This window comes from Homo sapiens, chromosome 3, assembly GCF_000001405.40.
Source record: "Homo sapiens chromosome 3, GRCh38.p14 Primary Assembly".
In the NCBI taxonomy this organism is placed as follows: domain Eukaryota; kingdom Metazoa; phylum Chordata; class Mammalia; order Primates; family Hominidae; genus Homo; species Homo sapiens.
In genome coordinates, this window is record NC_000003.12 from 124,887,854 (window position 1) to 124,909,113 (window position 21,260).

At 44.5% G+C, this 21,260-nt stretch overlaps 2 protein-coding genes across 3 annotated transcripts in view, besides 3 other annotated features; both read right to left on the reverse strand.

Annotated features, from left to right (window-relative positions):
- ITGB5 (integrin subunit beta 5) overlaps positions 1-13,565 on the reverse strand; it is a 139,471-nt gene extending 125,906 nt beyond the window's left edge. For both annotated transcript variants that reach the window (NM_001354766.2, NM_001354764.2), the window contains exon 1: positions 13,413-13,565. The gene's annotated coding sequence lies outside the window, so the exon portion shown is untranslated. The remainder of the gene's footprint in view (positions 1-13,412) is intronic.
- Positions 5-887: an enhancer, noted in NCBI's record as "NANOG-H3K27ac hESC enhancer chr3:124606705-124607587 (GRCh37/hg19 assembly coordinates)". NCBI's record gives its function as "activates a minimal SCP1, AML or CMV promoter by ChIP-STARR-seq in naive H9 embryonic stem cells {active_cell/tissue: H9 hESC(naive)}" and the evidence as "EXISTENCE:reporter gene assay evidence [ECO:0000049][PMID:30033119]".
- Positions 888-1,772: an enhancer, noted in NCBI's record as "OCT4-NANOG-H3K27ac hESC enhancer chr3:124607588-124608472 (GRCh37/hg19 assembly coordinates)". NCBI's record gives its function as "activates a minimal SCP1, AML or CMV promoter by ChIP-STARR-seq in naive H9 embryonic stem cells {active_cell/tissue: H9 hESC(naive)}" and the evidence as "EXISTENCE:reporter gene assay evidence [ECO:0000049][PMID:30033119]".
- A 4,023-nt stretch (positions 13,566-17,588) lies between the features above and the next one.
- The window catches only part of MUC13 (mucin 13, cell surface associated), a 29,310-nt gene continuing 25,638 nt past the window's right edge, over positions 17,589-21,260 (reverse strand). The window contains exons 11-12 of the mRNA NM_033049.4: positions 20,294-20,495; positions 17,589-18,889 (exon numbers count right to left, since the gene is read on the reverse strand). Coding sequence (NP_149038.3) covers positions 20,294-20,495 — 202 coding nt within the window. The 3' untranslated portion in view covers positions 17,589-18,889. The remainder of the gene's footprint in view (positions 18,890-20,293; positions 20,496-21,260) is intronic.
- Positions 19,917-20,418: an enhancer, noted in NCBI's record as "NANOG hESC enhancer chr3:124626617-124627118 (GRCh37/hg19 assembly coordinates)". NCBI's record gives its function as "activates a minimal SCP1, AML or CMV promoter by ChIP-STARR-seq in naive H9 embryonic stem cells {active_cell/tissue: H9 hESC(naive)}" and the evidence as "EXISTENCE:reporter gene assay evidence [ECO:0000049][PMID:30033119]".

Consider the following 21,260-nt stretch of genomic DNA (forward strand, 5'->3'; position numbering starts at 1 on the left):
GGATGAGCAAGGGAGGGCGTGGTGGGGCGTGGAGGCACAAGTAAAACCTACATTTCTTTTTCTTTTCTTTTTTTTTTTTTTTTGAGACAGCGTCTTGCTCTCACTCAGGCTGGAGTGCACTGGCCCAGTCTTGGCTCACTGCAGCCTGGACCTCCTGGGCTCAAAGGTTCCTCCACCTTAGCCTCCTGAGTAACTGGGACTACAGGCGCGCGCCACCACACCCGGACAATTTTTACATGTTTTGTAGAGATGGGGGTCTCGCTGTGTTGCTCAGGTTAGTCTTGAACTCCTGGGCTCAAGCATTCCTCCTGTGTCTGCCTCCTAAAGTGCTGAGATTACAGGTGCGAGCCACCGTGCCCGGCCCACTTTTCACTTTTTAACTTTTGCACCTTTCAAGGATTTGAGACTGGCCAATATGCCGCTATATTTCGTTGTCCTTACTGATAATCTGTCAGTTTCCATGATCAAACTGATAGACTCAAAAACATATGCTCAGGCTTTCATCTTATCATTTACATATAAGCTGGATCTGAACTAGCCAATAAAGAGTGGGGTGGGGTCTTCCTCAGATGGTGCAGGAAAGGATGCCTTGGGCTTGGATTCGCTACAAGTGCGTTTAGAGTGGAGTGGTTGATAGGCAAGAGAAGAGGCGACATTCAGGTAGGGGAAAATAACGATAGAATACCTACCAAGTACAGAGAGCACACTGCCAGCCAGGCACTGTTCTAAGTCCTTTACCCATATTAACTCATTTCATCCTCCGACAACCCTACTGTTATCCAGTTGAGGAACCGAGGGACAGAGGGGTTAACTGCTGGAGGAAGTGACAGCTAGGATGCCTCGTTCAAAAGTGCAGCATGGCTTGGCTAAAACTGAAGCAGTAAGGGGGAAAGAACAAAGGGGTCTCACCTTTGCAGGCCAGGGACCTGGTGGAAGAATGGCTTGGAGGGCCCAGTGGAAAACTGTCCTAACTGCCCAGCTCAAGGAGTTTGGATGTTAACCTTTATTTCTTGGCCTCCTCCCAAACTCTAACAAGGTGGTGCCTCAATGCCTGAGGAAGTAAACTTCTTGAAGTACAATATAGTGTGCCTGGGGGCAAAGATGCAGCAGTCCATAGCAAGCTCCTTTATAGTATTTGTGAAAGGAAAATAAATCTCAGGGCCCCCAAATCACTAAGCCAGGAGAAAAATCAAGCTGGGAACCGTGTCAGGCAAACCTGCCTCCCATTTTATGCCTAATTAAGATAGCTAAGAAGCTACATACCTCCCTCACAATTTACCCACAGGAAATTCCTTTTGGACAAAGGACAGACAGAACTCAAAGTCATCCCTCTGAGGCTCACCTGAGACAAATGAATACCTGATTGCTCCCTCTGGCCTATTGTTTATGTAAAAATGCAGATTCACTGAGCCAGACTAAATTGTGTATTCAGTGGAAGGCTGATCAAGGACCCAAAAGAATGCAACCTTTTGTCTCTTATCTGCTTCTAACCTGGAAGCCCCCACTTCAAGTTGTCCTGCCTTACAAAACCAAACCAATGTACGTCTTACACATATTGATTGATGTCTCATGTCTCCCTAAAACGTATAAAAGCACACTGTAACCCCGACCACCTTGGGTACATATTGTCAGGACTTCCCGTCACTGGCACATCCTTAACCTTGGCAAAATAAACTTTCTAAATTGACTGAGACTGGTCTCAGATATTTGGGGTTAACATATTCTATAATATCCTCATGTTTGTTTTGATGTAAAACGCTTGTCCCTAAACATTTTACAGGAGCTGTCCTGGGTTTATCTTGGAGCTACCTGTCTCTTAGGTCAGTGGCCTTGGAGCTACTCTTATGCCAGTTTGAGAGGCAGTGATTATAAATAATGGGGCCAGCGCGTTGGCTCATGTCTGTAATTCCAGCACTTTGGGAGACCCAGTCGGGTGGATAGCTTGAGGCCAAAGTTCGAGATGAGCCTGGCTAAACATGGCGAAACCCTGTCTCTTAAAAATACAAAAATTAGCTGGGCATGGTGGTGGGTGCCTGTAATCCCAGCTACTCTGGAGGCTGAGGCCTGAGAATCGCTTGAATCCAGGAGGTAGAGGTTGCAGTGAGCCAAGATAGCGCCACTGCACTCCACTCCAGCCTGGGCGACAAAGCGAGACTCTGTCTCAATCAATCAATCAATCAATGCCCTGAAAGAGCTTGAGCTATGAGATGTTGCGTGCCAAGTGGTGATTTTAAAAGATTTGTCTGTCAGGGGAGTGTAGGATGGATTAGATGGACGGGGCGTGGAGTCCTGGAAACTGGGTAAATACTGCCTTAATAACTACAATAAAAATTAGTACTTATCTAGCTTTTTTTTTTTTTTTTTTTTGGAGACGGAGTCTCGCTCTGTCGCCCAAGCTGGAGTGCAGTGGCACAATCTCAGCTCACTGCAACCTCTGCCTCCCAGGTTCAAGCAATTCTCCTGTCTCACCCTCCCAAGTAGCTGGGACTACAGGCGTGTGCCACCACACCTGGCTGATTTTTTTTTTATTTTTAGTAGAGGCGGGGTTTCACCATGTTAGCCAGGACGGTCTGGATCTCCTGACCTCATGATCCGCCCGCCTCGGCCTCCCAAAGTGCTGGGGGCATGAGCCACCGCGCCCGGCCTTATCTAGCATTCTTTAAGCCTAGGCCCTGTGGAGCGGATCTTCTGCGTGTCACCTTCCTTCTTCCAACTCCAGTGCTTTACAAACTGTTGAAATATCAGTTTGATCTGTCTCAGACTCAGATCCAACACAGTCCGTCACTTACCTAAACTGCACTTGGAAAGTTCTGCGATCAAACCTGCCCCTGGTTCCCTTCTTACTAGCCCCCCTCCTATTATCACCTGGTGGTTTCCTGAGCCCCTAACTTGCCCAGACCTGCCATAAGCTCTAAATCCTGAGTGATCCAGGCTCCAATATCTTAAAACTGGTTTAGAGATGCCTTTGCTCTGAGCTTTTGCTTTGTGGTTTATGCCTTTTTTCTTGTCCCTTCTTCTTCTTCCTTTTTTTTATTAAGCTGGAGAGTGGAGATGCCCTTCAAATGCTTTGACTTTCATCTACTCATTAAATTCAGTATGCACTGATTGCTCACCTCGAGGCAAAACTCCCCCCCCAGCCACTGGAACAGTTTCCTTTGTGGCTACTTCTGGAACATTCCATGTCTGATCACTGCTAAGCTTCTGGACCCAAAGGAGGCTGCTGGTTTTGGATCAGTTTGACGACGGGGTTTGAGCATGGATAACCAAGAGAAATTTTATGTTTCTTATTGTTAGTTTTAAACTATGATGAGTTCAAGAATTAAATATAGACTTACCATATGACCCAACAACTCTAGTTCTGGGTATATCCTCCAAAAAATTGAAAGCAGGGACTCAAACAGATACCTGTACACCAAGGTTCATAGCAGCATTATTCACAATAGCTAAAAGGTGGAAACTACCCAAGTGTCCATCAACAGATGAACAGAAGACAGGATGTAGTAGGTACTTATAGTGGACTATTATCAGCCTTTAAAAGAAATGAAGGCCTTTGCAATGGCTCATGCCTATGATCCCAGAACTTTGGGAGGCTGGGATGGGACGATTGCTGGAGGCCAGGAGTTCAAGACCGGCCTGAGCAACATAGGGAGACTGAGGAGACAGAATCATTTGAGCCCTCAAGTTGGAGCCCTGTAGCTGGAGGTTAAAGTGAGCTATGCGACAGAGTGCATAACTGCCTCAAAAAAAAAAAAAAAAAAGGAAATGAAATTCTGACATTCTGACATGCAGCTGGGAGAAGTGGCTCATGCCTGTAATCCCAACACTTTGGGATGACCGAGGCAGGAGGATTGCTTGAGCTCAGGGTTTGAGACCAGCCTGGGCAACATGGTGAAACCCCATCTCTACAAAAAAATACAAAAATTAGCTGGGTGTGGTGGCATGCCTGTAGTCCCAGCTACTTGGGAGGCTGAGGTGGATCACCTGAGCCTGGGGAAGTTGAGGCTGCCATGAGCCATGATTGCACCACTGCACTCCAGCTTGGGGGACAGTGAGGCCCTGTCTCAAAAAAAAATAAAAATAAAAATAAAAAATGAAAAAGAAGGAAAAGAGGGAGGGAGTGAGGAAGAGAGGGAAAGAAATTCTGTTATATTACAGCATGGGTGAATCTTGAAAACATGCTAAGTGAAATAGGCCATATAGAAAAGGACAAAATATTGTATGATTCCACATACTATGTATAAAGTACATAGAATGAAAAATTCAGAGACAGAAAGTAGAATAGAGGTTACCAGACCCTAGAGGGAGAGGAGAATTTAGAGTATTAATTAAATTAATGTGTAAATACTTTCAGTTTGGTCTCAAACTCCTGACCTCAAGTGATCTGCCTGCCTCGGCTTCCCAAAGTGCTGGGATTACAGGAGTGAGCCACCACTCCTGGCCTCAGTTTGGGATAATGGAAAAGTTCAGGAAATAGATGGTAGTAATAATTGCAAAACATGGTGAATGTACTTAATGCCACTGAATGGTAAACTTAAAAATAGTTAAAATGGGCCAGGTGTGGTCGCTCACACCTATAATCCCAGCACTTTGGGAGGAAGGGGGGAGGGAGGTAGATTGCTTGAGTCCAGGAGTTCGAGACCAGCCTGGGCAACATGGTGAAATCCCATCTCTATTAAAAAAAAAAAAAAAAAAAAAAATTAGCACTGTGCCAAGTGCCTGTAGTCCCAGCTACTCAGGAGGCTGAGGTGGGAGGATCGCTTGAGCACAGGAGGTTGAGGCTGTGGTGAGCCATGATTGTGCCATTGCACTCCAGCCTGGGTGACAGAGGGAGACTCTGTAAAAAAAAAAAAAAAAAAAAAAGTTAAAATGGTAAGTTTTATGTTATGTCTATTTTACCTGTAAAAATAAATAAACAAAAAAACTTAAAAATCAGATTCGTTAAGTTTCCTGTTTCACAATTCAGATTTACCAACTCCCAAAGTGACTTGTTATGTTGGGCAATTCAATTTTAATCCAAGTCAGAAATATTTCACTGAGGCATACCTGTAATTTAACATGCAGGGAGAAAAAGAGTTCGGGGCAGAAAAACAACTATCCTACAGTATACCCCTTAGTTTAGATAAGGCACTTAATTTACTCTGCTTTTAGTAGTCATGCCTAGGATTTACCACACTGCAAGAAATGAGTGACTCTGGTGACTCTTTTGTAGAGATTGATAGGCCTATGACACATGTATACAATTTTCTTTAATGTTAAGATTAACTTTTTAGGCTGGGTGCAGTGGTGTCTCATGCCTGTAATCCCAGCACTTTGGAAGGCCAAGGCAGGAAGATCACCAGAGGTCAGGAGTTCGAGACCCGCCTGGCCAACATGGTGAAAACCCATCTCTACTAAAAATACAAAAATTAGCTGGATGTGGTGGCGTGCTCCTGTAATCCTAGCTACTCAGGAGGCTGAGGTATGATAGTTGCTTGAATCTAGGAGGTGAAGGTTGCAGTGAGCCAAGATCGCACCCCTGCACTCCAGCCTGGACAACAGAGTGACACTTTGTCTCAAAATAAAATAAAATTAAAATGATTAACTTTTTATTTGAAAAATACCAAATTATATTCCTTTTTATAGGAAAATGCTCTGTCATAAGTTTTTCTTTCCCTGTCCACCATGGTCCTGGTTAGGAAAAAGTAATCCCTGTGCCAGCTCTCAGAGTTCACAGCCAATAAGGGACTACTGAGGGCAGACCCAAAAATGACACCTAGATGATGGATGAACATGGGAGACAAGCAGGTGACAAGTCCAGGGGCACACTGGGTTCCCTGTTAGTGAAAATAGCCTATTATGCTAACTGGCATATAGTAGATCTCAGTAATTTTTGTTTGATGGCTTATTTTTAGGTTCAGCATGTGCATAGTGGTCATTGCCAAGTGTGAGGGGGGTGGAATTTCATGTTGAGAAACGGAGTACCAAACAAGTCTCGACAGAAATTTTCAACATAGGGATAGGTGTTTCTCTTTGGTGTTGTTGCTCTTAATGTGCAAATGTAGCTGTAAGTCATAGAAATGTCATATTTCTCTGACGCTGTTAAGAAGCACACACAAGCATTTAATGACCAATTCCGAAAATACTCATTAATTATTACATCTTTCTGAGGGCAATTTTTGAAAGGTTAATTTTGAAAATACTTTTTAATTATATATTCTAGAGGAAATATATATTTTCCAGCTTTCATGAATGATGTTAACAAATCCATTAATGAAATTATAGTAAAAGTTGTGATATTTTTCTTTTTTTTTTTTTTTTTTGAGACAGAGTCTCGCTGTCACCCAGGCTGGAGTGCAGTGGCACGATCTCGGCTCACTGCAAGCTCCGCCTCCCAGGTTCATGCCATTCTCCTACCTCAGCCTCCCACAGTAGCTGGGACTACAGGCGCCCACCACCATGCCCGGCTAATTTTTTGTATTTTTAGTAGAGACAGGGATTCACCGTGTTAGCCAGGATGGTCTCAATCTCCTGACCTTGCGATCCGTCCGTTGCGGCCTCCCAAAGTGCTGGGATTACAGGCGTGAGCCACTGCACCCGGCCCCAGCATTTTTCAATTAAGTTGGCCATGCTTGTTTTATTTTATTTTTTTCACATCGGATATTGCTTATGTAAAATTTTCTTTAAGATTATCAGTAGAGCTTAGACATGGAGGAAACTCTCCTGGATTCTTTCTCTAAATGCCCTCTTTCCGCTGGAGCAAAGCAATCACAATGCGTTCCTCTTTTCCTGGATGTTTTCTCATATCACCTAAAGGGCATAGATTCCTTTCCAGTTATTTCAGTAAAAAGTAGAATGAATGAATACAAATACACATAAACACACACACTATATTTTAAACCAATCATGTTTAGAGACTTCTTGAGTAAATGCCAGTAATAAAGGAGTAGGCAGGAGATGGAGAAGAGACACAGAACAGGTATGGTCTACACCAGGGGTGTCCAATCTTTTGGCTTCCCTGGGCCACATTGGAAGAAGAAGTCTTGGGCCACACATAAAATACACTAATACGAACGATAGCTGATGAGCTTAAAAAAAAATCCCCCCTCCCCCCCAAATCTTACAATGTTTTAAGAAAGTTTACGAATTTGTGTTGGGCCACATTCAAAGCCATCCTGGGCCTCATGTGGCCCACAGGCCACAGGTTGAACAAGCTTGTTCTACACAGATGTGGCTTGGGGAGAAATGCTATAGGAGTGGAGTGATAAGACAGAAGGCCCAGAATATCACAGCTCCAAGCAAGGACAGAGATACCTGAAGATGGAAGAACCAGTACATGGGAACACTCTTGGAAGCTGAGCCAGCATTATTCCTCAGCCACCTCGGCACCACTTTCTTGGAATTCCTTTTCTTTTGAGACAGGGTCTCACACTGTTGCCCAGGTTGGAGTGCAGTGGCACCATCATAGCTCACTACAGCCTCAACCTTGTGGGCTCCGGCAATCCTCCCGCCTCAGCCTCTGAAGTAGCTGGGCCCACGTGGGCACCACCACACCAGACTAATTATTTTATTTTTTGTAGAGACAGGGGTCCCCTATGTTGCTCATGCTGGTCTTGAACTCCTGGGCTCAAGCAATCCTCCTGCCCCTGGCCTCCCAAAGTGCTGGGATTACAGGCATGAACCATCATGCCTCTCACCTTTACCTTGTCTTAGGTATACTAGTGGCCTTTAAAACAGTGCTTAGCTAGCAGTTCAGCAGCCTTTCAAAAGATGGGACAAGCTTCTGGACCCCTACCCTTCTTGGGGTGTCATGTTTGGGGCTGGGGTGGGGAATGGAGGCTGAGCAGCTGCTCAAGGACCAGGTACACAAGAAGCCATGGCTCAGCCATCAGCCACCAGCCCAGGACCCAGCTTTCACCTGTTTGCAGTAGCTGATGCCCCTTTTGTAGAATACGGCCCCTCATATTCAATTGCTGGTGGAGGAAAATGAGAAATCTGGGCCCAGGATCAGAAGAATTGAGTTCCAGTCCTCATTGCCATCAATTAGCTGAGCAACCGTGCAACTGCCTGCCACCCTCTGGACCTCAGTTTGCTCATCTGGAAAGTGAAGGGCCTGGTCCCTGCCAGAGCTGGCTCTATAATTACCACTTGCAAAGCCAAATGTGTTCCGCACTTGGCAGCAGGCTCTACTTTACATAACCTGATATGCCGACTAAAAATTCTTCTACAAAAAAGCAATGTGCTTGCATAGAAGACGGAATGCCTGTTTGAACGTGTTCTTTATGTGGGAAGACTATGAGGGCCTGTCTTACGGGTGGACTCTAAAAATGATCACCTTTCCTCTTTAAAGGCTGTCCCAAGAGGCCTCCATCAGCTTCCTAGCGAATCCACCCCAATTATTTAATCATCAATCAGGAAATACTTCATTCCTTGTAACTCAGGGGCATTTGATAGTTTCCTCTTCTCCCAGCTTCAGTGGAGATTGATCACTGTCCCCTCCAATATTTCAGAGACCATAATATAAAACATGATGCCTGCAATGCTCACTAGGGGTTCTTCTTATGTTAGACTAGACATTCAGACTCTTAGCCTTTCAGAGACCACACTTGGCTTTAGTCAACTCAAAAAGATGTAGGGGGCTGAGTGTGGTGCCTCATGCCTGTAATCCCAGCACTTTGGGAGGCCAAAGCAGGAGGATTGCTTGAGCCCAGGAGCTTGAAACAGACCAGCATGGGCAATATGGTGAAAGCTCGTCTCATGAAAAATTAGCCAGGCACAGTAATGACATGCATGTTGTCCCAGCTACTTGAGAGGCTGAGGTGGAAGAATTGCTTAAGCCCAGGAGTTCGAGGTTATAGTGAGCTATGATTGCACCACTCTGTACTCCATCCTGGGACACAGAGTGAGACCTTGTCTTAAAAAAAAAAAAAAAAAGGGAGAAGAAGAAGCTGGGCATGCACGTGGCTCATGCCTGTTATCCCAGCATTTTGGGAAGCTGAGGTGAGAGGATCACCTGAGCCCAGGAGTTCAAGACTAGCCTGGGAAACATGGTGAGACCTTGTCTCTACAAAAGAAAAAAGAAAAGCCAAAAAAAAAAAAAATTTAAAAAGAAAAAGGAGGCAGAGCACATATACCAGGTATATTTGAAAGATCAAAGTATACTGAAGTAGACCAGGAATCAGATTGCACAACTCACAAAGCCCTTCAGAGCCTGGCCCCTACTCCCACCCTCACAGACAGATACATTCTTATCTTTGCAGATTGTGTTTCTTCCTCCAAAGGCCCTATCCCTGATCTTTTCTGACTGGTAAACTCCTATTTGTCTTTTGATACCCCGCTCAAATGTTGCTTCCTTTGTGAAGCCTTCCAGAACTACTGTTGACAGAATGTTTTCCTCCATGTCCTTCTTTTTTGTTTGTTTTTGTTGTTATTGTTGTTTTGGAGGGAGAGGTGGGATCTCACTATGTTGCCCAGTCTGATCAACCTAGTATGTTGCCTGAGCTTCTGGGCTCTATTAATCCTCCCTGCTTGCCCTCCCAAAGTACTGGGATGACAGGTGTGAGCCACCACAGCTGGCTTCCTTCATGTTCTTAGAGAACTTGGTCCTTGCCTCCATTGGAAGAGTTGAGGTTGAAGTTATTTGCTTATGTAATTAATCTCTGACTTATTACTCAACTCCCTGAGAGTGGGCACTGAAAAAAGTGTCTGTTGGCTAGGCGTAGTGGCTCATGCCTGTAATCCCAGCACTTGGGAGGCCGAGGCAGGAGGGCTTGAGCTCAGGGATTCAAGACCAGCCTAGGCAACATAGCAAGACCCCATCTCTACAAAATAAAGAAAAATTTTTTTTTAAATGTTTGTGGAATGATGCATTTATCCAACAAGTATTTATTGAGTGTATACCATGTGACAAATACTGTTCCAGGGTTAGGGATAAATAATGGTGTTTATGCTGGGTCTCAAAGGATAAGGAAATTTTGTAAGGTGAAGGAAGGGAGAGAAACAGACTAGAGAGCTGTTCACAAAGTGCTATCTTCCTAGACAAGTAGCTCTTCTATATTCCCCCTGCCTCCCTTGGGGTGTTGGGTGCTGTTATGTGACAAGTTCTAAGCCAATATGATGTGGGGGGAAATGAGGTGCAGTAATACCAGACTTGATTCATAAAAAAATCTCTCTTGCAAAATCCTCTATATTCTTTGGCTTTCTACTGGATTGATGCAGAGCAGTAATGACCTTGAAAACAAAACAGGAAGGACCTGAATCACCACTTTATGGGGGTAGGGGTAGGGGGCTTATCAGGAAGACACATGAGCAATAATAGATGTGGCTTGATTAGAATATTCAGGTGAGGTCCATTGTCCAAATATCTATTTGTATTGATGCTTTGAGGTCTTTTTTTTTTTTTAACTTGAGACTGTGGATAACAGCAGCAAAAAATGATTAGTTAAAAATGACAGATACTCTATTATGGAATGAGACTTATGTACCATTTAGAGGATATCGTGTAAGTTAATTCTCTTCATTAAGAAAATGACAGCCGGGCGCGGTGGCTCACGCCTGTAATCCCAGCACTTTGGGAGGCCGAGGCAGGCGGATCACGACGTCAGGAGATCGAGACCATCCTGGCTAACACAGTGAAACCCCATCTCTACCAAAAATACAAAAAAAATAGCCAGGCGTGGTGGCAGGCACCTGTAGTCCCAGCTACTCGGGAGGCTGAGGCAGGAGAATGGCGTGAACCCGGGAGGCAGAGTTTGCAGTGAGCCAAGATTGTGCAACTGCACTCCAGCCTAGGCGACACAGCGAGACTCCGTCTCAAAAAAAAAAAAAAAAAAAAAAAAAAAGAAAATGACAGCACTTTGGGAGGTTGAAGCAGGAGGATCACTTGAAGCCAGGAGTTTGAGACCAGCCTGGTCAACACAGCAAAACCGCAAAACCCCATGTCTTAAAAAAAAAAAAAAAAAAAAGGCCGGGCGCACTGGCTCACACCTGTAATCCCAGTACTTTGGGAGGCCGAGGCAGGCGGATCACCTGAGGTCAGGAGTTCAAGACCAGCCTGACTAACGTGGTGAAACCCTGTCTCTACTAAAAATACAAAAATTAGCCAGAGAAGTGGCAAATGCCTGTAATCCCAGCTACTTGGGAGGCTGAGGCAGGAGAATCACTTGAACCAGGGAGGCGGAGGTTGCAGTGAGCCTAGATTGCGCCATTGCATTCCAGCCTGGGTGATAAGAGTGAGACTCTGTCTCAAAAAAAAAAGAAAAGAAAAAAAAGAAAAGAAGAAAAAAGAAAGAAAGAAAATGGTAAAGACCCCTTACTCAGGGCTGGCTAAGAGATGCTTTCAAATCTTAGCCCTGATTCTATTTATTTGTTTTCATATTCCAGGACACGCTTTGCTCTAGGATGCCATGCCACTTCATTGAAATAGGGACTTAATTTTTACATTCAATAAATTTTGTTGAGGGCTTTTTACATAGCAAAGAAATAAAACAGAGGATTTTCCCTCAGGAAGTTCAGGTGCAGCAAAGGGGCTGGCTGTCCAGTGGGGATTCATTTTTGACTTGGACCCAGTCAGGAGGCTATTGTTTCCACCAAAAGGAAAGAAGCCTCCAAGATTCCTCCCATCACTGCATAAGGGCAGGACACCACAGCTGATTAGAGAATGGAGAGCCTTCACACAAGATAGAAAAGCTGGAGGGTTCCCAAACAAAGAGGAAGTCATATCTGGGGTAATAAATGAGAAGCAGGCCAGGCATGGTGGCTCACACCTGGAATCCAAGCACTTTGGGAGGCCAAGGTGGGAGGATCACTTGAGCCCAGGGATCATAGCCAGCCTGGGCAGCATAGTGAGACTTCATCGCTCCAAAATATTTTAAAAATTAGCTGGGTGTGGTGGCATTCACCTGTGGTCCCACCACTCAGGAGGCTGAAGTGGGAGGGTTGCTTGAGCCCAGGAGGTCAGGGCTGCAGTGAGCCATGATCATGCCACTGCACTCCAGCCTCGCCAGCATAGCAAGACCCTGTCTCAAAAAAAAAAAAAAAAAAAAAAAAAAAAAAGCAGCAGCAGGCATGTTGCAGGTAGTTTTAGATGAGTTACTTTACTGGAGAGAATATGAGAATACTTTATGAAATTTGAACAATGACATAAGTAAAGAAAGAGTTTTGCACTTTTGGTAATAAAGGCCATTAACCTGAGAGCTCCAGGACGATGAAGCCTGTGTTTCATCCACCACTCTATTTGCATCTGGCACCAGGTCCTGGTAAATACAGGACACTCTCAGCTTCAAATATATGTCACATTGTTCCTACTGACTATTGAAATATATTACCTCTGTTAATACTTTAACATTAAATGACAGAGAGGTAGGCAATGGAGTCGGACTGCCTGGCTCAAATCCTGGCTGTGTCACTTCCTAGATATGTGACTGCAGACTAGTTACTTGCCTCTATTTCCCCTACTATTGAACAGGCATGAAAACAGTACCTACTTCATAATTATCGTGAGAATTAAAGGGGTTAATATGTGTGAGGCACAAGAATTGTGCCTGGCATATAGGGAGTGCTTCATAATATATGAAATATTATTGTTGTTGTTGATTTTCAAACTGGCTCTCTCACCTGGAAGTAGCAGAGAATTTCCTTATTGGCCCACATGTCGTGATTGTGGGCTCAGGAAAAATGTTACCAGGCCTGCAGAAATTATGAGGCCTTTGATGGTTTGCCCCAGGCTTCTGTCTTTGAATAAAAGCACCACATTTCATAGCCCTGAGACTGAGAAGAACACCCCCATATGTTTTCCAGGGCTCTCCCCAACCTAATCTCCAACCTTGCTTTTTGCACTGTGGATTGTCAATTAATGGCAAACTGGAGTTCTCGGAGAACCCTCAGGGAAAACCCAGACAGATCTTGCTCACCTCACCTCCCACGGGTGGCATTTTGTTTTTTATTTAACTGAAGAATTTTTCAATGAAAATGGATTTATCTCCTTTTTAATTTTGTACAATCACCGCTAAATAAAACATTGATTTCTCTGAACAATTGTACCAAACTTTATGCACCATTAATATGACATTAACATTGCTTATGGTTATGTATTATAAGAGCAATAAAGAGGACAATATATGATCTCTAATGATTCAGTAAAAATGATGCAAATATCTCAACAAGAGCAAACAGCGTAACATTCATTTCTCCCTAGCACAAGAACAAGGAATAAAGAGACCAACCAAGGAAAAGTCCAAGGAGAAATTTAGAAATGGTGCATTAAAAGTTAATGGTTTTAAGGTCAGGTGCGGTGGCTCACACCTGTAATCCCAGCACTTTGCGAGGCCAAAGCGGTAGGATGACTTGAGGTCAGGGGTTCAAGACCAGCTTGGCCAACATGGTGAAACCCTGTCTCTACTAAAAATACAAAATTAGTCGGGCATGGTGGTGCTCACCTGTAATCCCAGCTATTCGGGAGGCTGAGGCAGGAGAATCGCTTGATCCCAGGAGGCAGAGGTTGTAGTGAGTCGAGATCTCGCCACTGCACTCCAGCCTGGGCGACAGGGTGAGACTCTGTCTCGATAAAAAGAAATAATAAAATGAAAGTTAATGATTTCAAAAAAGCCTTTTAAAAGCTCCGCCCCGCCGGAAGTTGAGTTTTCTGCAAGCCATAGGAGACAGCGCCACCTACCGGCCCCGAGATTTGCCCAGCCGCAGAAAGGGGCGGAAGGCCAGGGTAGGTTTGGGGGCAAAATGGCACAAAAGAGTTCAGCCTCAAACGGTTTTGGTGTTGATGCAATCTGGATGCCTGGTCACCTTCTCCATAGAGAGACTTGGAGCTTACTGGGGCTTCTTGTCCACAATGTGACTCTTGGCTTCTAGACTCTTGGAGGAAGGAATGGGAAATGATGTGATGTGACCTCGAGTTGGACCATTAGCCAACGCAGTGACCTGAAACAGTGGTTCTCAAACTCCACCGCACATTAGAAGCACCTGGGAGCGCAGGGCGTGGCGGGTGGCTCCTGGAATCCCAGCTACTCAGGAGGCTGAGCGGGGAAAATGGCTTGAGGCCGGAGTTAGAGCCTGCCATGAGCCATGATCGTGCCACTGCACTCCAGCCTGGGTGACAGAGGGAGACTCTGTCAAAAACAAAAACAAAACAAAACAAAACAAAAAAACGTGCAGGTGAGAGTTTAAATACTCCTGAGACTCAGGTCTGCCCTAGACTGATGTGCTCTGGAATGGGACCCAGGCATCAGTAACTTTTATACCTCCTCAGGGGATCCCAATGTGAAGCTAAGACCTGCCGCTGTCAGGGCAGCGGGCCATTCCTGTTGTTTCACCCAAAGCCAACCTCAGAGGACCTTCGGTCTAATGCGACAAGCCAGCAGTGTGACATGTGCGTTTTCTCGTCCTGTCTTAGGGCTGTGCCTAGAAGGTGCCGCCCTCAAGGTTGGAGACAGCTCTGCATAATAGTTCACTCCCCACTTAAAAAATAAAAATAAAAAAACCCAGCTTTGTGAAGGTATAATTGACATACACCAAAGTGTACATTTATAAAGTGTACAATTGGACAATGTTTGACATGTGTATACTTGTGAAACCAGTGCCACAATCAAGATAATGATCATATTCTTCAAGGTTGAGCTGCAAGAGTCCTGTTTTACACTCCCATTTCACAATTATTTAATACTTGTTCTATGCCAGGCATTGTGCTGGGTTAGAAGGAACCATGGATACAACCACTTCTCTGGGGGAACTGGTTACAGGACCAGTTGGGACATGAAGGAGGCAACTCTACTTGAGAGTACTGGGGTAGCCAGAGGAGAAAATGGTTTAGTTGATCTAGACAGATGGAGGTATTTATCAGGTGCTGTGGTCTAAATGTTTAGGTACCCTCAAGATTCATGTATTAAATCCTAAAGCCTGATATGATGCTATTAGGAGGTGGGACCTTTGGGAAGTTATTAGTTAATGAGGGTGGAGCCCTCATGGATGGGATTAATGTCCTTATAAAAGAGACCCCAGGCCAGGCGCAGTGGCTCACACCTGTAATCCCAGCACTTTGGGAGGCTGAGGCGGGTGGATCACAAGGTCAGGAGATAGAGACCATCCTGGCTAACATGGTGAAACCTCGTCTCTACTAAATATACAAAAAATTAGCCGGGCGTGATGGCTGCAGTAGTAGTCCCAGCTACTTGGGAGGCTGAGGCAGGAGAATTGCTTGAACCCAAGAGGCAGAGGTTGCAGTAAGCCAAGATCGCACCACTGTATTCCAGCCTGGGTGACAGAGCAAGACTCCATCAAAAAAACAAAACAAACAAAAAAAAAAACCCAGAGAGATCTCTTGCTCCTTCCAACATGCGAGGTTACAGTGAAAAGATGGCCATCTATGAGGAACTGGGTCCTCACCAGACACCAAATTGGCTGACACCTTGATCTTGGACTTCCCAGCCTCCAGAACTGTGAGAAATAACTTATGTTGTTTGTAAGCCACTCAGTCTGTGGTAGTTTGTAATACAGCTCAAACAGATTAAGACATTAGGTAGTTGAAGGAAACGGGCATTCCAAAATGGGAAAGCATGAGCATGAGGAAAAGCAAGAGGGAAAGCATGAGCAAAGGAATGGAGGCATGAAGAGATGATATGTTGGCTGGGCACGATGGCTCATGTCTGTAATCTCAGCACTTTGGGAGGCCAAGGCAGGTGGATTGCTTGAGCTCATGAATTCGAGACCAGCCTGGTGACATGGCAAAACCTCGTCTCTACAAAAACACAGAAATTAGCCAGGTGTGGTGGCAAGTGCCTGTAGTCCCAGCTACTCAGGAGGCTGAGGTGGGAGGATGGTTTAAGCCTGGGAGGCAGTTTGCAATGAGCCAAGATCACACCACTGCACTCCAGGCTGGGCAACAGAGCCAGACCTTGTCTCAAAAAAATAAAATAAAATAATAATAATAATAATAAATTAAAGAGGTGGTATGTTTAGGAAACAGCAGGTATGGCCAAAGTGGTAGTGCATCGTGGGGAGGGTCATGAGGCAAAGCCAGCACAATCAGCGGCAGTAACTGGATGTCTAGGAGTGCCATGCCACCAGGAGTCTGACTTTATTCTATGAGCTCTATTTCTCAGTGGATGACCCCTGAAAGCTTAAGCAAGGGAGTGTCACAATCAGATATGCATCGTAGAAAGTTCACTCTGACAGCCCTCCAAAGTGGCAGAACAATTAGTAAGAGAACCTTTGCAAAGTTACCAGCAAGCAGAAACAAATGAATTATAGGTCATATTGCACAATAATCAAAAAGAACTTTTTGAATCCAAATGCAAAAGCCATTTTCATAAACATTATACATATATATCTTTAGGAGATTATTTTTAGTCAAACAATAGCAATGCAAGTCTTTGAAGAATGGCCCAGGAAGCCCAGAATTAGTATGGCTCAGGACCTTTGAGAAGTGACAGGAGTTGGCATGCTCTGGTCCAAAGGGGGATCAGGAAGGGGGAAAGGCCTCTTTAGAAATAGCCTTCTACTAGTACTGAATCCAGAATCATATTTAAATACAAAGGGGGTAATATGCAGGTCAGAAATAGAGTCTGTGATGACAAAATACAGTGGCCAGCCAATTTTAAGTTCTGCCTGCAATAACTCTGCTGCTGTTAACTGATTGGTTTATGGCTAATGTCTTCAGTGTGGGCATTAATAGCTCATAAGAGTATGTTTCTTATATGTGATTCACCATTTAGCCATGAGAATACAAGAATAAACATAAGTGGTATCAGTGAGGATTTTTTGACTGCAAATAACAGGAAAAAACTACTCAAACTGGCCTTGTAGCAGAGGAAATTCCAGAGGCTTCAGGTATGGTTTGATCAAGGTGCCAGGTCCATTTCTCTCTGGTTCTCTCAGTTCTTCTCCTCTGTGTGTGTCAGCTTTGTCCCCAGCAAAACAGAAGCAGTTCAAGACTTCACACCCTCAAGCCCACTTTCCAGAAGAAGAAAGTTTCTCTTTCTCCAAACTTCCTACCAAAGTTTAGGCTTTATTCTAATTGTATCCACTTATGCCACACGTTCACTTTTAGGACGATTACTGTGGCAAGGAGGCATGGGATTTCGCTGATTGGCTTGAGCCAACCAGAGCCAACCTCTGTAGCTGGGAGCAGGATCAGCCCCACCCAAAATGCTCATCATCATGGGGTAGGAGTGGGATGTGCGTGGAGGAAGCAAATGTCTACTATGCAGTAGAACGTTATCTTGGGTAATCCAATAACCCCTAATAAGGATAGCAGATATCAGTCACTCCCATTTACCATGTGTCACGTTTGCTATTTAAAATGAGACTAACTGCTGTGTGCATCATCAAAACCCCCAAACTCAGCCTGGGCAACATAGTGAGACCCTGTCTCTAACAACAACAAAAAAAAATTAGCTGGGCATGACAGCACACTTCTGTAGCCCCACCTACTCAGGAGGCTTATATGGGAGGATTGTTTGAACCCAGGAGTTTGAGGCTACAGTGAGTCATGTTCACACTACTGCACTCCAGCCTGGGTGACAGAGCAAGACAGTGTCTCAAAAAAAAAAAAAAAAAAAAGAAAGAAAGAAAAAGAAATGAAAAAAAAGCCCCAGACACAAGGACACCATCTAACAAAGGCACTTTATTGCATTACCATTCACAATTAACAGTCAAGAACAAATAATAATAACAAATAAAATAACTTTTAAGAGGACAAGGCATTAGAAATAAAAAAGGACACTAATAACATTTGTAAAAGCTTGTACTGGATGTGGTTGCCCCCATTTGTGTGTGTGGTTGTGTGTGTGTGGTTGTGTGTTGGTGGCCACAGCTGAGCCTCTGTCACCAGAGAAGGCTGAGGCCCCAATGGCACACCTCAGAAACCTACACCCCGAGGCTGGACGGCTGGACTCCTGAGCACAAGCTCCCTCTCGCACCCTTTGCCAGACAGTTTGTCTCCAATTTCAAACTGACCTAAGGCTCTTACTCCTGGATTTTTTGTTTTTAAACCTTCTCCCAGCCAGTCTTCGGGAGGGCATGATTAGAGAAGTGCTCCTTTGCTGATGGAGGAGGGGACCTAAGGAAGAAGGTGGATCCCAGGTGCCTCCTCTCTAATTGATCCTCCCCACCCAGTTTCCTTTGCCTCTCTTCCTTCTACCAGGTCATGTTTTTTACTCTCTGCCCCTTCTGCCTCCTAGCATTTCAAAAACTGTAGAGTGCACCCCATAGTGGACATTTTTAGTCCAGGCCTTCTAATTAGCATCAAAAAGTTCCTGGATTCCCAGGCACGCCTCCTGAAAAAGCTGAGAGATATGTCTCTTTCCAGTCTTCTTGGGTGAGGCTAGGTTGCAAGCTCTGGGCTGTTCAAAGGTTGCCAGAATCTCTCCATTGGAGGGATAGAAGCAGTGTCCCTATTCTGACTTGTCAGAGAGTGAGCTTGTGACCCTTGAAAGATGGTGGGTATCCCTTCTCATCCCCTCGGACCTCCACAGTTGATGCGTATGTCTCCCAGGGGAATTAGGTCACTTAACTCAAGAGCAATGTTTGCCCAGGAGCAAGCAATGCTGGGGAGCTTTCCTCTAGATTGGAAATGGTTCTTGTTGCCCTACCAGGAAAAGAATTAAGAAAACAACCCTAACCATTGTCTCAGTACTTTGTACTGATTGAAGAAAACCACCTCTCTGACAAGCGCTAATAGCATCTACTACATTTAATGTCATAGATTCTTATTTAGCAAGTGAGCTGGATTCGTTGCAAACATTCACAACTTCCATTCAGAGAGGCTGGCAGATGTCAGATGGAAGAAAAACCCCGGAGGCCAGATCTTTACTGGTGCTCACTTCTCCATCAGTCTTTCTAAACACTCTAAATAATAGCTTGTACATTGGTTGGGGGCCATGGCGGGTTCCACATTCTTATGATTCTAGACAGAAAGAGAGAGGGAGAGACAATACTCTTAGAAAATACTCCAACAGAAACATATGAGATCGTTTAGATCTGTAAATTATTAACATTACTTTCATTAACATTATTTGTCTTCTTCAGCTTTATCCCATATTCTCCCTATCATTTCTCTCACGTCTCTTCCATTCCCCATCTCTTTCCCAGCTCCCTTTCTCCTCTTCCTTTACCATCTTCCTTCTTTCCATCTGTCTCCTGTCACTCTTCCTCCTAAAGTCTCTTACAGGCTTCCTTCTTTCAACATTTCATTCAATCACACTAAGCAGTGACAGCTATGATTATCCAATACAAACCCAGTGGGTACAAGCTGTTGTCCTTGAAAGTTCTCCCTAGAGAAATACAGTATCACCAGCCTAACTAGCTTTATCTCCTTTTTTAAAAAGCTATCTTTTATTATTATTATTTTTTGTAAAAATGGGGTCTCATTATTTGCCCAGGCTGGTCTCGAACTCTTGGGCTCAAGCAATTCTCCTGCTTCAGGCTCCCAAAGTGCTAGGAGTATGGGATGAGCCAACAAGCTAAGTTCCATTTCATCTCTTTAGAAGTGGACTGATGCCCAGTTCAGTGGCTCATGCCTGTAATCCCAGCACTTTGGAAGGACGAGGCGAGAGGATCACTTGAGCTTAGGAATTTGAGACCAGCCTGGGCAACATGGCAGAAACCCCTGTCTCTACAAAAAATACCAAAATTAGCCAGGCATAGCGGCATGTGCCTGTAGTCCCAGCTACTTGGGAGGCTGAGGTAGGAGGATCACTTAAGCCCAGGAGGTTGAGGCTACAGTGAGCCAAGATCGTACCACTGGACTCAAGTCTGGGTGACAGAGTGAGACCCTGTCTCAAAACAACAACAACAACAAATAGAACTTATATATATATATAGAGAGAGAGAGAGAGAGAGAGAGTTGCCTTGAGATCAAGCGGCAGGGAAAGAGAGCGTTGCCTTTACACAGCCTGGTGAAAAGGATCCCACAGAACTATGTTTACATCCAGTGTCCTTCCCTGGTCCTGGCTGAGGACCTAGGTCTTCAAACAGCCTGAGAAGTGTCATCATCATAATCTCTGGAGTCGTATTCATGGAGTTGGTAATCTAAAGGGACCTTAGGGGTATCTAAATTAAGCTGACCTTTTTACAGATGAGAAAATCAAAGGCCAGGGAAATTAAGTGATGTGTCTGTAGTCACATAGATGCTCAGAGTTACGACAGCAGGGAACTTCCTTTTTGATCTCTCTCTCTCTCTCTCTTTCAATTAAGAAAAAGAAAAAGAAAGCCTGCGGGGCAGCCAAGGATTGAAGATTCAGCAACCAGGTCTCTGCTCTGCCCTGGTGCATTCACTCCCAAAAGCAGGAGAAAAAGCCCACTGACTCACCTAATAGTCAGGGCGGGGCATGCTGCTGTGTCTTGAATAGGGATTTTGCATCTGGCTGTCTCTGGAGGCCGTTATCCTGACCTTAGGAAAGACGCTCCCTTCTGCTCCAAGATTGGTGAAGCCTGTCGACCGCAGTTTTAGATTTTGAAAGTCTTCGTCAATCAAGTTCTCTTCTTCAATATGCTTCGTTTTGTTATTTGATCTGTAATCAGTAAGAGGAATTAGGATTTGACAATGGCAGAAAGTTTCTTGAAGTAAATGTTAATGTTCTTTTTAAAAATATTTTTAAATTCTGAAATAATCTCACATTTATTTGTAAGTTACAAAATACATATATTACGGCGTTCTCACACACTTATCACCCAGATTCCCTAATTATTAACATTTCTGAACCAATTAAGAATAAGTTGCATAACCAAAGAACACTAACAGTTTTATGAAAGAATAAGTTGCAGACTTGATGCCCCACAAATAATGAAATAAAGCACTTCATTATTTTATTCAGTGTAGGTTTCCTAAGTTTAAGGTCATGAGCTCTGTGTAGCGACAAAACCTGGACTTCAATGCTGATCCAACATAACAATCTAATTCCACTGGCCTCATTCATATTTTGCTCATAATATTAGAAAATAATTTGAGATACAGCATTTCATTCAGCAAAGTCAACATCTAAGAATCACGTTGGTGGGTAAAATGAGTAAAACAAGTTCAAAGACTTGAAACGAGGCTGGGCTTGGTGGCTCACCTCTGTAATCCCAGCACTCTGGGAGGCCGTGGTGGGCAGATCACTTGAGGCCAGGAGTTCGAGACCAGCCTGGCTAACATGGTGAAACCTCGTCTCCACTAAAAATACAAAAATTAACCAGGCACAGTGGCATGTGCCTCTAGTCCCAGCTACTCGGGAGGCCGAGGCGGGAGAATCGCTTGAACCTGGGAGGTGGAGGTTGCAGCGAGCCAAGATCATGCC